General features: G+C 37.7%; 1 long non-coding RNA gene across 2 annotated transcripts in view; it reads right to left on the bottom strand.

The window, feature by feature from the left end:
- Positions 1-15,615, bottom strand: part of LINC00343 (long intergenic non-protein coding RNA 343) — a 54,967-nt gene that overhangs the window by 29,764 nt on the left and 9,588 nt on the right. The window contains exons 3-4 of one of the 2 annotated variants that reach the window (NR_120418.1): positions 1,575-1,718; positions 318-585 (exon numbers count right to left, since the gene is read on the bottom strand). The exons of the other annotated variant lie outside the window; for it this stretch is intronic. This is a non-coding gene — a long non-coding RNA (long intergenic non-protein coding RNA 343). Of the gene's footprint in view, positions 1-317; positions 586-1,574; positions 1,719-15,615 lie in introns of those variants that run through there. 2 annotated transcript variants of the gene reach the window in all.

The following is a 15,615-nucleotide window of genomic DNA, read 5'->3' as shown; positions in this document are numbered from 1 at the left end:
AAATGTAAAAGCCATTACTAAAAATACTAAATGTAAAGAAAAACAGAGCTAACACGTGACAAATCTAAGTGGGCTGACTGACATAGAATGAGGAATCTATTAAATCTTCAAAGATCTAGTTTTCTGCAGCCCCCAACCTCCTTTGCTCTAGGCAATTCCAAATATCTAGCATTAATCATGCATTAGTTCCTCTTGCCCCAGCTTCCTCTCCCATACTTCCTAAAATGCAGCGTAACATTTATTGCCATCCCTGGAACTGATTCGGTGCACACTACCACTCAACAGAAGAGTTTATATTTAAATTATGGACTCTCCAATAGTTTAAACATGTTTATTTTCCTCTTGCCTTGCTCTTGGTCTTGTCCACAGGAAATTTATTTTTGCCTGACAGCCATCCATTTATAAAAAGTTGCTTTGTACAAACTTCTTTATCTTCTTTGCTGATGGTCTCATTTTCTTTGCGGTCTATTTGTCTGTACTGATATTTTTCTGTGTGATAAGAAGGTTATCTACCAAATGGCAGTAGACTTATTGCCAGTAGTGGCAGCTGTTCAATTTTAGATGATCTTCTGAATCATAACTCTCCTAGGGAAAAGACACAGTGTATGTGCATTAAATGTGATTATTTTAAAATTTGCTTATTCACATACACAATCAGAAATTTAGCTTTCCATCTTTGGGGCAGAAGAATAACTCTCCGTAAAAAGAGGTCTTGCATTTTTCTGATGACGTTCACTCCAGGCAGCCTAACAGCTTTCAATTCTGTCTCCACCACTTATCCAGCATTTGACTTTGGTCAGGATACTAAATTTCTATGTCTTCACTTTGCTCATCCCCAAAGTGAAGACAAAAATATTACCATCTTTGGGAGTATTGCTAGCAGGATTGAGTGAGTTAATATGTGTGAAGCTCTCAGTTGGTGCCTGGAAGGTAGAAGGCACTCCATGAGCGTTGGCCATTCTTATTATTGCAAGAATAACTTTGTCTCAATGACAATCAAAACATCATCTTGGGTTTTGTCTGTATGACTGATGGACTGGCATTTACATCACATCAACCATTATTTAGGATAGGATAATCTCAGTTGTTGAGTGATGTTATTACAGAAGTTCAGTAACATTCAAGAAAGTCTCAGCAACACTATTCAATAATATTGAAGAACCATATCACCTTTTACAGTCAATTTAAATAACCAGGAAACTGCAAACAACCACACTTTTTCCAGAGTTGCTTTCCTGATGGGGCAAGCAGAACAGTACAATTGGTACAATGTACATCAAGTGTGGGCTTTTCTCAATAATGTTAAGTGTAAATATAAATATAGGAATGTAAAAAATGTAAAGGCTATTTTAATTGTATGTGTGTGTTATGAAGGTATTCTGACAAAAATTGAAAACGTTTCTATTATTCCATCAGATGCAGAAACAAAGGAAGTAGTAGTATGGGCTGCTTCATATTTTGAGACACAGAAGTCCAGACAGGTACCTAGTTACATGTTAAGGCCAGAAACAGGGGAGCTGTTACTGACTCCTCTCTTTCCCTCCACCACATCACCCAGCTGTGCTCCTACTTACTGCTCATTCAGCCCTGTTGGCTGCAGACTCTAAGTGTCTCTTAAATCTATCCCCATTGGTTATTCTCAAGGATGAAGCTCCACCATCTTGAGCTTGGATGACTGCAATAGTCTCCTCAACGGTGTCCAAATTCGATTTTCTCACCTAAAACCATAACCAGAGAAACCTTTTTAAACCTGTATTTGGGGCATGGTCCTTAGAGGCTTAAGCCTTAAGTGGCTTCCTATTGCCTACCAAATGAAGTCTCCAATCTTCAGCTTGACGGTGGGGCCGTGAGTAACTGAGCCCTGCCTCCTGGACAGCCAGGGTCCCTCTTTGCTCTGCTCACTTATCACGTTGGTCTTCCTATCCTGGAGTGTGGCTCACTCTCCACACCATCAACTGTTTAATTGCTGCCCACCCTTCAAATCTCAGCATCAACAGTGTCCTTCGATACAGGCCTTTTCTCCCTGCACTGGCACCCCGTTCATAAACACCTGCCATTTCTAATCACACCAACCTGTGCTTCTCCTTTTGAAGTGTTCACTCCGTGGGATACTTGTTGACATTTTCTCCATTCGAATATGAGCTCCATGGGGGCAGGCACCATATTTGTCTTGTGGCAGATGTTAGCCTCTGATTGGGCAGAATATCTGATACATAATTTTCAATGCTCGTTGAATATGTAAATAAATTTAGAGAATGCCTAGATAATTTCTTAATACCCAATTACTGTATTTTGAGATGGCTTGCTGAACTGGTTTAAATTTGGATCTGAATAATGCCAGACCTACTTAATTAAATGAAATTTTAAATTATTCAATGAAGGTATTTGACCATGAAATGGAAATATAATGCAGCTGTTAAAAACATCATCACCATGGCTGGAATGCTGTGTTCAAATACTGCCTGTGCAACTGAGATGTGTCCCTGGGCTAATTACTGACCTCTAGTTCCTCCATTTCCTCAGCTGTCATATTGTGAGAAGTAAACACATGAAAATATCTAAAGCACTTAGAAGCATAATAAGCCTAATAGTTCAGACACAATCATCTAAAAGGAAAACTCTCTTTTCTTCTTCCATCAATTGGATGCTTGTCTTTCATATTTTCAAGCTAAAACTTTAGATAATATAAAATTATAAAATTGCACAAAGTAAAAACTCTGAAAAATTTTTCTATGAGCTTTCCTTTCACCAAATATCCAGATTGGTCTGGTCTGAACAATTTAGATGTTTGGAGTCTACAACAACATAGCACATATGCACTCCACCCAGTCAGATGGACGGAACAAATTAATCTTGGTATCATCATCCAGACTATTTGCCCATCACAGGTTTTCTCTTTTCACTCACTGAGCTGAGTATAGACAGTCTCTCAGACACTTCCAGATTGTCCATGGCAGGAAATTTCCTACCTGGACAGCAGTGGGTGGCCCATTGAAGGGAGAAACCAAGCATTTCGTCAGGATTCTTGATAAACTGCCATTATCTGAGCAGAGGGTTTTCCTTTTGTCCTGACAAAAATGTCTGTACACGTCTATTTTCATGTATTTTTATGTGATAATTTCCTATTCTACCACCTTAAGAATTCAAAATAATCTTTCATGGAAAAGCATCAAGAGCTTAACAAAAATCACATTGAGTTACAGTTTCTGGTTTTTCTAAAGAACAAAGCCTTATTAAGTTCTTAAGTATGATTCAACAATTAAATCAAATGAAATCACTAATTTCCGCCCCCCTCTTTCACTCACCCCAGACTGCTTTATAGAGGATGTAATCCATTGTGACGCTACTAAAGGCAGGACACGTCTTCCAAGGTATATTCACTCTTAAGAAATGATCAGGTTGGTTTGGATAAATAACTTCGAAGTCTTCATATTTTAAAGAAGCTGCATTTAAATTACAAGATTATAACTGGCCATTTCTGTCAAACTGAAAAAAATCTTTTCACCATCAATAATCCACTTTAGATATAGAGTGAGGCAAAAACATTTCATCTTTTAAATTGATTGCATAGTAGCACATTTTGGTCAATGAGTTTATTTTTCTTTTTATTTCCAAAGATGCAATAAGTAAGAAAAAAAAGCTTTTAAACAGGCTTTTAAACAGCCAGAAATGACATGATTTATTTGCATGAATTGCACATATGGCTGAAGTTCTTCCTGTGCCATATTTTCAATACATTAAAATATTTTCTACATTATGATGTTTTATAAAATTATTCTCAGCAACTCTGGGGAATATAGCTATTATATCCTTAGGAAGATGAAATGATCCTCATTCTTCTGGGAGTTTAGTGTTATTAAAGAGGTTTATAAGCACTAGATATGGAAGCTAAATTTATTTACCTTAGTTTTCTTTTGTGTTTGTAATTAAGCATCATAAAAATGCAGAAAAGAGCAGACACAGGAAGTAATAAATGTAAAAATATTGTATAACTTCACTGTACTTCAAATGTATATTGACCCATTTTGCCTTCAGAGTAAATGAACTTGGGAAATCATTATATATATATATATATATATATATATATATATATATATATACACACACACACATATATATATATACACACATATATATATATACATATATATATATATATACACACACACATACAAATACTTATTAGATCCATAAATATGTATGTACTTTTAGGACTGCTATATCAGAGGCAAATAAAGGGTTTGCTATTTCCCTGAATTTCCACTCCACACATTTTAAAAGCAAAGTGGGTTTACTAGTGGTGACATTTTAAAACAGGAACTTTTGGATGATTTGAAGTGAACCAATTCTGAGACTCAGTCATTACCATGGCAACACCAGGGTTCAGAAGTCTTCATGTGGAGGCAATCATTGGGTACTCTCACATAAAGCACAGATGATTTAGTCCTGCTTTTGTCAGAAAGGTTAAATGGATTTTTTTAATAAACTGGAAAATGTGCCAATAAGTCCAATATCCATGAAAGTAGATATCACTAATGGTTCATCAACCTAAGTCTTCCCACCAAGGGTTCAACTTCCTTCAAAGCATGTGGGAGAGTCATTTCCCCCCATTTCTGAGATAGTATGTTGTTAGCCTTCCAAAAAGCGAAGGACACTAATTGATTCCTTTATTCAATTTTACAAATCATTCCTTGTGTATAACTTTTGCTAGTAAAGCAAAATAAATTTCTACCTATCCATCCAAAATATTCCTGTATCACAAAGGTTAAGGAAGGGATAAGCATAAATGTTCCACTCTCCCCCTTGATGGAGGAGGGTGGAGGGAGAAAAACAAAACAAAACAGAGCAGAAACTAAGATGCCTTGAGAAGGCTCTCACGACGTTTTATTGACTGAGAGCCATCACAGACAATGCCTTCTCCACTTATTTATTTGGACCCTTTGCTTAAGGAGAATAAAATAAACTCTTGGTATATTTCCATTTTTAGGGTTAAATTAGATTTTCTGTAACAACATACAAATATATGCAATTCACAGTCATCAAAGATGATACCTGTTGGTGGTGGCGGGATGGAACAGACTTTAAGCTTAAAGCTGTGTGTAGACTGCTCTTGACCATGTAGTATTTCCAGAAGATCTTATCAAGTAAGAGGCTTTGCATAATTCTGTAACTGTGTGTTTAGAGCTTCCCGAGGAACAACCACAGACTGAGAGACTCTGGGACATGAGCACAGCCATAGCTTCCAGTCCTTCCTATGTGTGTTATCTACAGGGTGGTCTTTATTCCAAGTGAATCATTTCCATCCTGTACACCAGTACATGTGCTGAGCACACTTTCATAGACCAAAATTAGAACTGATGATTAACAAAATTCCTCCGTAGGATTTATAGAGGATTGGGAAGAGAATTAGAAATGAGATTGAGTTCACCCCATGTGCATTTAAGAGGGTTCAAGACTTGCCTTCCTCCAATTTACAGACATCCACAGAGAAACCATTAAGCACAAGTACAAGCTAGTTGCAGAAAAAGCAGATAACGTCTCAGTCCCTATATAGCAGGAAAGATGGTCATGCCATTTATGTATAAGAAAATAGTTCATTTTCAATATAAGAAGTGTTTAAAACAAAGTCTTCTGTAGGACCAAAGGATACTATGACTGTTGGGAGTCAGGGAAGAAAAAATACTTTTTGTTTATTAACCTTTCTTAATGTAGTGAAACGCAACTATCAAATCTTAACAAGAAATGGAACATGGTCTTGTTATTATTTCTTTCCACATCTTGATATGGTTTCTGTGAGCCAGGAGTCCACGGATTCCTTATGGGGGCTAATCAGGTGTCAGCTGGGCTGTGTTCTCAGCTATGCAAGAATCCACTTTTAATCTCATTCAGGTTTGGGGCAGAATCAGCTTGCAGCTGCATGATTCAGAGCCTCAGCTGATGCTGTTTGTTGATGAGATACTGGCCTTGGCGTGGGGATGTTCCCAGCATGGCTGCTCACGTCATCAGGCCAGCAAGAAGAGCCTCTCTTCCTTCTACCAAGATGGAGCTGTACACAGTACAACGCAAAGCCTAATAACTGGAGCAACATCCGTGAAGAAGGAAGGAAGTCGGCGGTCTCGCTTGCATTCAAGAGGAAAGGATGTGAAGGTTAGGAGCATGAGGGCCCCCTGGCTTCTATTCACCACACGATCTACCATCCCATTTTACAGAAACAGTGTCTGAAATGATGGCTTGCTAGAATTCCCATGGTGGAAGACAAACCCATCTTTAAACACCAGTCTCTGGGTCTCTCCTGACTCCACTGCTTCTCCAGTGCAGGGCATAGAAGACAACCTTGAGTCATGACTCATGGAAAATGGCTAATGTCCTCCCAGATTACTGAGCAATTCATTCTTCACTTTCCAGAGTTCTTCCAAATATAGATTATTGGTGCTGCACTAGCAATGTCCTGGGAACACTCAGCTTTTCAGTTCAGCTTTCTTTTTCCTATAATGAACTTGATTATATATGGCTAAGTTTTAGATAGAATTTTCAGTTCAGCTTTTTCTTGTAATGAACTTGATTATATAGGGCTAAATTTTATATAGAATTAAAGCCAAAAAACTGGAACTCCTGGTGCCTAAGACAAAAGGATATTAGTGTAAAGAAAGTGGAAATGGGATTGACCAAGTGGTATAAATTTTTCCAAATTTTGGCTGCCAACATCCTAATTTTATTTTAAATGACATCGTTGTTATATTCCCAGTATATCAAATAAGTAAACATGATTACTGATTCATTCATTCACTTAACATATTCATTGAGGGACAATTCTGACAGGCACATCTAAGAAGCTAAGCTTGGGCATGATAAGGTCACTGGCCCTCAGGATGTTTTTGTTCTACTGGGAGATAGGTAATAGCCAGCATGTAATGTGATTTTGTGTGTGTGTGTTTGTGTGTGTGTGTGTGTGTGTGTGTGTGTGATTTTAGGAAGTAGTAAGTCATCAGAAGAAAAATAAAACAAGATAGATAGATAGAGCGTTCCCTGAGGGAGGGTAACCCTCTAATTAAAAAGCCAACTAAAGACTTTCCTCTTAAAAAAAAATAGCATTTGAGCAGAGAGCTGGATAGAGTAGTGATAGAATGAGCTGCGTGTTGTTCTGGGGCTGATATGTTTCAATAGAGGCAAATGCAGGTGTTACCACCATGAAGGAGCAGACTGAAGTGGATACAGCAGGTATAGACAACTCTTTTGAAATGTGTTGTGAAATTGTAGGAGAGGGTTTATAATCAGGGAAGGTTTTGTTGACGTTGTAATTCTTACGATGAAAGGTATTACAACATATTTATGAGGATATAAAAACGATACCAAAGAGAAATAATACTTGATGCATTAATAGAGTAAGTGAAAATGTCAAATGCAAAGGCCTTGAACAGGCACAAGAAGATGAAAGCCATTTCTCATACAGTATTGGATAGGAAGACAGGTTCAGACACAGGAGCTTGGCAGCCCTGATGGAAGGCTGGATTTCTCCTGAATGTTTCCACTTTCTCAGTGAAATAAGAAGCTAAGCCATCAGCTGAGAGTGAGAGAAAGAAAAGATGGGACTGGAGAAGACAGACAAAGTTGAGAAATTTATTGTTTGTTAGTGAGTGAAAGACCAAATTAAAGGTAAGATTGCTGGACAAAGCCAAAGGTGCACTTCTATTTTTCCAACCAGAAAACTCAAAGGTAATTTGTCAGAATGATTGGGTATTTTCTTATAGCCATATCTACCTGCTCTGGTCTAGCCAGGGTGGTGTTTGGTCAAGCTCATCTACTAGAGGGAGAAGGGTCAAAGCAGCTGTGAATATAGCCATGGGAGAGATTAGTGTGGGAAGGGGCCACTGGCAAAGGTGTTGGCACTACGAACAAGGGAAGGACAGGGAGTGAGAAATGCTGAAGGCCTTGAAGCATCGCAGAAGAGGCATCTAGGGTGAGTTGTAGAGGCCAGTGTGGAGCCTTCTCAGCTGGTCTCTCCCCTTTCCTGGACTGTCCACTCTGAATGGCCCTTTGCACAATACCTGTGACTCTTGATAGGGAAGAAGCTATTGTCAGTATCTATTTTAACTGGGTGATAGCAGTAGTAAAATAGTTGATAACAGGGTGTGTTGTCACCAGTGAATTAAAAAAATGATAGAACCATCAGAAATCTGTTTTAAAACAACAGAGGTAAAAGGAGAAAAAAAAATGTGCTTATACCACAGGAATACCACACTTACCCTCAATGCCTTTTTTCTATCATTCCAAACACATACTAGAGATCACTTGTCCAAGGCAGAATAGACCAGTTACGCTTTAGCAGAAACCTGAGGTCATTATACAGATCTAATCAAACCTGTTACCATTGTGATGTACAAGACACACACACAAATGCCAAACTACGGAGGTGAAAGAAGAGGTGAAATCTCAAAATCTGAGGATCTGATTGAAGAACTAGCTAGCCTTGAGAATAAATCTTTGAGTAAATGGAATATTGATACATAACATATGAGTCTGAAATTCAAGAGAACAGGTGGGGATGGAAACATAAATTTCAGAACGTAAATAGGAAAGTCATTAAAAGCTACAAGACCGAATGGAATTAGCATAAGAGTGAGTGCAGGCAGAAACAAGAAGAGGCTCAAGAACGGAGCCTTTGGTGGCCCCATGTTATAAAGATAAAGACAAAAAGAGGGAAAGAAACGGAGAAACATCAGCCAGAAAGTGTGAGGACAATCAAGGAAAGCTGGCGTCTTGAGAAGCAAGTGAAAAATGTATTGGAAGGAGAAAGAAATTGGGTCGGTGTTCTATTCTTCTTCTTCCTCATTGCTACCTCCAGACCATTCATTTTCCATAAAAACTTGCATCTATGTACAACACTTCTACAGCACAGAAAGATGAGACATGGATGTGGATTTTGATTTTAGGTTTTAGAAATGTAGAGGTTGTTGAGTGCTTTCACAGCAATAGATTTGATCACAGAGTAGAGTTGAATTTTATTAGGATAAATCTAAGAGAAGAGTTGCAGGGAAAAAAACAAGTACAAATAACTATTTCTGGGGCATTCTTCTGTTTGAGAATAGGGGAGGACATGAGCTGGAGAAGGATATGGGTTAACATTTTTTTTTTAAGATGAAAGAAACAAGAGCGTGTTTATACACTGAAGGGAATGACTTATTAGTGAAGAAAAATGTGTTAATGCAGAGGAAAATGGGAAACTTAATTGAATGATGTTAATAAGTGGTTGAATAAGACAGAGTCTAATGCGCTTTGCGGGCTGGGCCCCAGAGAGGAGCATGGCCTGGCCGAGCCACCCACAGCAAAAGAAGAGAAGGCAGAATGCACAGACCCATATTCAGTCCGTTGAGGGAGCCTGTAGGAATTTTCTGACTGCTTCTATTTTCTATCTGAATCAAAAATCAAGAAACCAGTTTGGTGTGAGAATGGAGGAGGAGGTGTTGGAAGTTTGAGGAGAGGAAAGGTGTGAAAGAGAAATGTAAAAGAGGAGAGTGAACAGGGAATATGTTATGGGTATAGTTGCCAGGCAGTATTAAGAGCCCTTTTGGGGTTAGTGATCATGAACTTAAAGTGGGACCTGCCAGCATGGATGTGTATATTTCTCCAGCCATGATTAGTTCCATAAAAGGTTGTACAAATGTAGGTATGGAAGAGACAGAAAGTTGGTTATACTCAGCCAGTAATGTGGTTTTTTCTAAGCAACCATGATGAAGCGAGGGGAGGATAAACATTTAGGGTGTACACCAGGTAGTAACTGTGCTTAGGGGCCATGGAAATTATTCTGCATGAAGGGAAAAGTGAATTGGCAAAAGAGAGAATAAAGGTATGGTAGGATTAAAGGGCTGTGGGTTCCTGTAAGGTCAAAGGGTTCTAGAGGGAGTGAACTAGGAAGATGGTGTTTGGAGACAAGGATACTTGAGCCTTGGTCATGACCACAACTAGGAAATGACCATGGGAGCTGTGGCTGAGTTGAGTGAGGACAAGTTTATGAAAGGAGAGGATTTCCAGGAACTCAGAGGTCCGGTTGTTGAATGGATCACCTACGCAAGAATTCAAATTACTAAGAATAATAGCAACAGAGAATGGGATCTGATAGCTGGTAAATGACAGCAACAGGGAGCAGGAGGAAGATGTGTGTGATATTCACAGCAGGGTTTTCATAGAAGGGACAGTGTCAGAAAGCGGGAATGAGAAGTAAGGAATCATGCACCTTCTCTCTAGGTTTAGTAGAAGCCTGTGAAATAGAAGCAGCCCCACCATGGAAGGAGACATCCATCTTCCTTCCATTGCCGAGTGCTCCATTTCCTCTACAGCCCCCAGTCCAAGTTCCTGAGAAATGAAATGTGATTGTCCAAGCATTTGTTATGAATCTTGCCATGCCAGCTTGTGATTAATGACTCCTCTGTCATGTCGTCACCCACAGTCCCATGGTCCGGAGTTGGGAGTAGGAACTAGGAGTGGCTGGAGGTTGTGATTTGGTTATGATTTGGTTTTGCCAACTATGACCCCATAGAGACTGCTGCCTTGTTAATTAATGTGAAATTCTTTTCGAAAAAAAATCTTGCAGTTAGGAAGTTATGTTGCATGCAAAAACATGAAAAACATTCTACATGTTTTTTTTTTTGATAAAATATATTATATTACAATTCTGTTTTTCTACCCCATTGGTATCTGGCCAACATGAAAGTATCTTGCTCAACAACAATCCAGTGAGAGGCAGTGTGTGAAACAAGAGTTCTGCGGTCTTTCCTGCTTCCTTTGTCCTCCTGATGGGACTTTCTGCACGCACAATGTTTATGTTGGCTAATCTTCAGTGGTAGCCTGTCAAGGCTGTGCCTCCAATGCTTCCAAACACTCAGATTGTTTATGGAGCATAAGAGCGATCACAATTAACTTGATTTGCATCTTTCTTAAATAGGGAACCATACTTAGCTAGAGACCAAGTAACTAGAACCAAATGTAATTGGAATAATGTGTTTACAGCACACTTTCAGCAAAAAGAGATATTTACTACTTTCCAACTCAACACACACACACACACACACACAAATGTTCACACATGTATGCGCATCCTACTACACATACACATTAAAGATTTAAGTGCTAAAAACCAAGCAAATCAAAAGTTACTTAATTACATAATTTTAAGTCTACTGTACAATACAATGAATCTTGAAGTCCAGAATGTAAGTTTAGCTACTTAATCCTCAAAAAGAGTATAATCATTCAATTTTAGTTGTTTAAGTAGGAAAAAGAACAAATTGGAGCAAATAAGATGAAAACAGAATGCTGAGCTGTATTAAGTCATAGTAAGTTAAGCATTCTGTTTCTTTAACAATACTATGTTTCAATGCAAGATGTTGCAGGAAGACTATCATAGGAGCTAAACTGTGATGAGTTTTAATGAAGATATTACACGGAATGCTAGCTGACTTCCTCTTCATATATTTGAACTTCTTTGTGGAATTACAGCTTGTAATCAGAAACTGAACACCTGTTCTGGTCTGGGCTTGTAGAAAAAATTGAACATTTATTCAGTATTTCTTTACAGACAAATGAAGTATATAACTGGAAAGTCAAGTGTTTGTGTATGTGGTGCAGCTGGAAACTTAGAGCTGATATATAGAAGCCACATAGGAGTGCAGCTCTGATCCTAACTTAATACATTCTTCTCTCCCTGCAGGATGCTTGACTGGGAGCCTCAGGCTCTCTTCCAGCAGGAAGTGAACTAGGATGCAATATCTGTTCTTTGTGCTCACCTGGCATATATCCTTTGATTCTTCTAGTTGTAGTTCAGTAGTAAACCTAAGTAAATGCAACCTCGAACCAAGATCAAATTGTCATTCCCCCCAACCGTCCAGCCTAGATAAGCCATGTGTTTGTTCCTTGATGCCACTTGTGAAGCAAATGAAATACACATGCAGAGCTTTTGCTTATTGTACTAGTGGAGTTTGAACTTTGTACAAGCAAGTGCCTGACAATTGCTTTAGGTGCAATTGTATAACGGTGGCCTGAGAACTGTGAAAAAGGGCAGTTTGCATAATGGCTTTGAACGATAACATTCTGTTGAATAAGGTTGGGAATAAGCGTCAAGCCTCTTTATTCTTGTGGAAGACAGCAATTGGATGTTACTTTTCTACTTATTCTCTCGCAAATAGAATTGGTGAAATAAACATGTGGATCACTTAGTACTATTCATTTACATTTGTCATGGTGGTTTTAGCTCATGGAATCTCATTAGCATTTCTCTTCATCTGCCATTGGGCATTTTTCTTCTGCTGATATGTAACGACAATCTTTTTAATGTATTTGGTTTGTAAACATGGGCTTTCTGTCTTGTGTCTATGCTGTTGACTTTCATGTTAGACCATATGAAATAATAACTAGAATTGTTATATAGAATAAGCAATAATAACTAGAATTGTTATATGGAGCAATAATAACTAGAATTGTTATATATAGAATTGTTCCTTTTTCATTCACGTATTTATAATTGTTCATTAAAATTAAGGCAATAGTTATATTCAATAAATTAAAGGCTACATAACATTTCCTAATGCAAAACAGTGAGGTCATCCCACTAACTATTACAGTCATCTGTGAAAATTTTCAGACTACTTGGTTTCATTGAAATGTTAATAATAGCTTTATATTTCTTATAATAACTTCTCTTACTGATTCCTTTTGTTGTTCATCCAAACAAACCAATATCCAAACATCAAGGTACTTTCAGACAACAACTCTGAGAGTCATTCCCCGAAAAATTACATGCAGTGAAATTATCTTTAAAAGAGAAAGTATACAAGGTCTCAGAGAGAATCTCACAGTGTTTAATTCTAATATAAGCAAAGAACAAAATTTTGACCTTTAAAAAATTATTAACTTATTGAAAAAAACTTTCCCACCTTTGTCTCCCAATTTGTTGCAAAGAAGCAAAAAGAAGCCAAAATACTGAAGCTAGTCCCCTGCAAAAAGACATTGTTTTACTGGGTGATTTTCCAAAAAGTCCCTGGAAATCTGTGGTCTTAAAAATTTATGACCTAAGTATATCAATCAGAATGAGCATTCCTGAGGTTGATTTCAAATTTGTGAATAAACAGATAAATACTTGTCAACAATTTCAAATTTCTAGATCTTGAAATGTTTTCGATATACTTACAAAGACAAATTATCAGTATTTCTTCATCAGCTGTTATATACTTTTGCTAATGTGAATATTTTAGAGGACAAAAGGAAGATGGTGCAGAGACAATTTTTATAACTTTTTCCCCACCATTGCCAGCAGTCTATGATTTCTTTTTTATGCCCATTTATTTGGCAGGAGTTGCTGATTTTATTGTTGCCATTTTTTTTTCCGTGAAGAGCTGGAAGATAAAGCTATTCTTTAGTTTTCTCATCTGCAAATGGCATCCCATGGGTCCTCGGCAAAGCACAGAAATGAATTTCAGATACCTGCCATAATTCTTCTGCTGCTGTCCTTAAAATAACCTTCAAAGTTGCAAATATTCTCATCCAAAATGGGATGCAGATTGATTACCTAATCAAGAGATTAGTTAAATAATTAAACAATTGAAAAAAATCATAGCTGCAGACACAGTATTATCTATATAATAGACCATTTAATCAGGAAGGAAACAACAACAACAGGCATATAAGAAAGCTTTTGGGAGCTGAGCTCATGACTGTAATCTCAACAATTTGGGAGGGCAAGGCAGGAAAATTCCTGGAGGCTAGGAGTTTGAGACCAGCCTAGGCAACCTAGTGAGACCCTACCTCTACAAAAAGTAATTATAAAAAATTAGTCAGGCCTCATAGCTACTCAGGAAACCGAGATAGGAGGATGGCTTGAGGCCAAGAGTCCTAGGTTACAGTGAGTTATGATAATGACACTGTACTTCAGCCTGAGTGACAGTGAGACACCATCTCAAAAAAAAAAAAAAAAAGTAAATAGATTTGCAAAGCATGTCAGTACAAAATAAATTAAAAAGCGGAAACTTTCTCTATAACTTGAAAAACATAAGAAAATTGATAAAATATATAAAGCAATGCTTTGAAATACACTTTAGAAGATTTTTTACATCAGAAAACAAGCAGTGGTCCTTGAGAGGTCACAAATAAACATGAGTGCTGCAATTTCCCTGGTTTAAACAATAAGACTTTCTAGGTTGTATCATGTGCAGGAGGAGCACAGGTAGTTTTCAGTGAAACCGTTGAGATGAGGAGAAGATGACCAATGTAGCTAGAAATTTCAGGACAATGTTCTACAGAAAGGAGAACTCCAGAGACAGAACTGTTGTTATTTTCCAGAGCTCTCCTTGATATTCAGTTGTGTACTAATCAGCATTTGCATGAGAAAACTATCAAAATAATAAAAACAAATCTAAAAATAATTAGAGTAAGGTGTTCTGCAGTCACAAAGAGAAAAGAACAGTGCTTAGTGTCAACAGCTAGACTGGGAAACCTCACAATTCAATGTATACTGGATAGGTAACTTGGAAAAGTCTCCTGGGGTCGGGCGTGGTGGCTCACACCTGTAATCCCAGCACTTTGGGAGGCTGAGGCGGGAGGATCACCTGAGGTCTGGAGTTCAAGACCAGCTTGGCCAACATGGTGAAACCCCGTCTCTACTAAAAATACAAAAACTAGCCAGGTGTGGTGGCAGGCACCTGTAATCCCAGCTACTCGGGAGGCTGAGCCAGGAGAATTGCTTGAACCTGGGAGGTGGAAGTTGCAGTGAGCTGAGATCGCGCCATTCCACTCCAGCTTGGGTGACAAGAGCAAGACTCCATCAGAAAAAAAAAAAAAAAATTCCTGGATTGAACAATGCTCCAGATTCACCCAAAGAATCATAAAGGCAAGGCCTAAAGTAGTTAATGTGTTAGCAACTAACATATGAATGCAAGAATAAAAGTAAAAAACATTTATAAGAATACGAAATATACAAAATAACCAACACTCGCTTTAGGAAAATTTTACAATTTGTGACATCTAAAAATAAACCTTACCAGGCATGCAGAAAAGCAGATAAATAATAATAAACCAATAATAAAATCTATCACCTTAAACCCAAACTAACAAAGGTGCTAGAATTTGTGGTTGAGAGCCTAAAACACTCATTATGACAACATTCTGTGTTTTATCAAATTAGATAGAGATATGTAAGGTGTAAAAAAGATCTAAATCAACTTCTAGAAATAAAAACAACACTGATTCTGATGAGAAATTTACAGGATGGGAGTAATAGAAAATTAGCCACTGCAGAAAAAAAAAAAAAAAAAAAGAAGTGAACTTGAAGACAAAGCAATAGAAACAATTCAAAATAAAACTAAGAGAAAAATAATTTAAAAAGTGAAAAAATCAATGAATTGTAAATAATCTTCAAGTGGTCTTATTTGTATACCACTGGAGCTCCTAAAGAAGGTGAAAAATGGGGGCGCAGGAAAATAACTTGAAAGAAATAATGGTCAAACATTTTCCAAACTGGACAAAAGCTATAAACCTGCAGACTCAAGAAGTCAAGAACCTCAAACATAAAAAACGATACACTATAATCAATTTGCTAAAAACATAATGAAGAGAAAATCTTAAATGAAA

This window comes from Homo sapiens, chromosome 13 (genome assembly GCF_000001405.40).
Source record: "Homo sapiens chromosome 13, GRCh38.p14 Primary Assembly".
NCBI classification, from domain to species: domain Eukaryota; kingdom Metazoa; phylum Chordata; class Mammalia; order Primates; family Hominidae; genus Homo; species Homo sapiens.
Note: the sequence above shows the minus strand (reverse complement) of the source record. Positions and strands in the feature narration are given on the sequence as shown.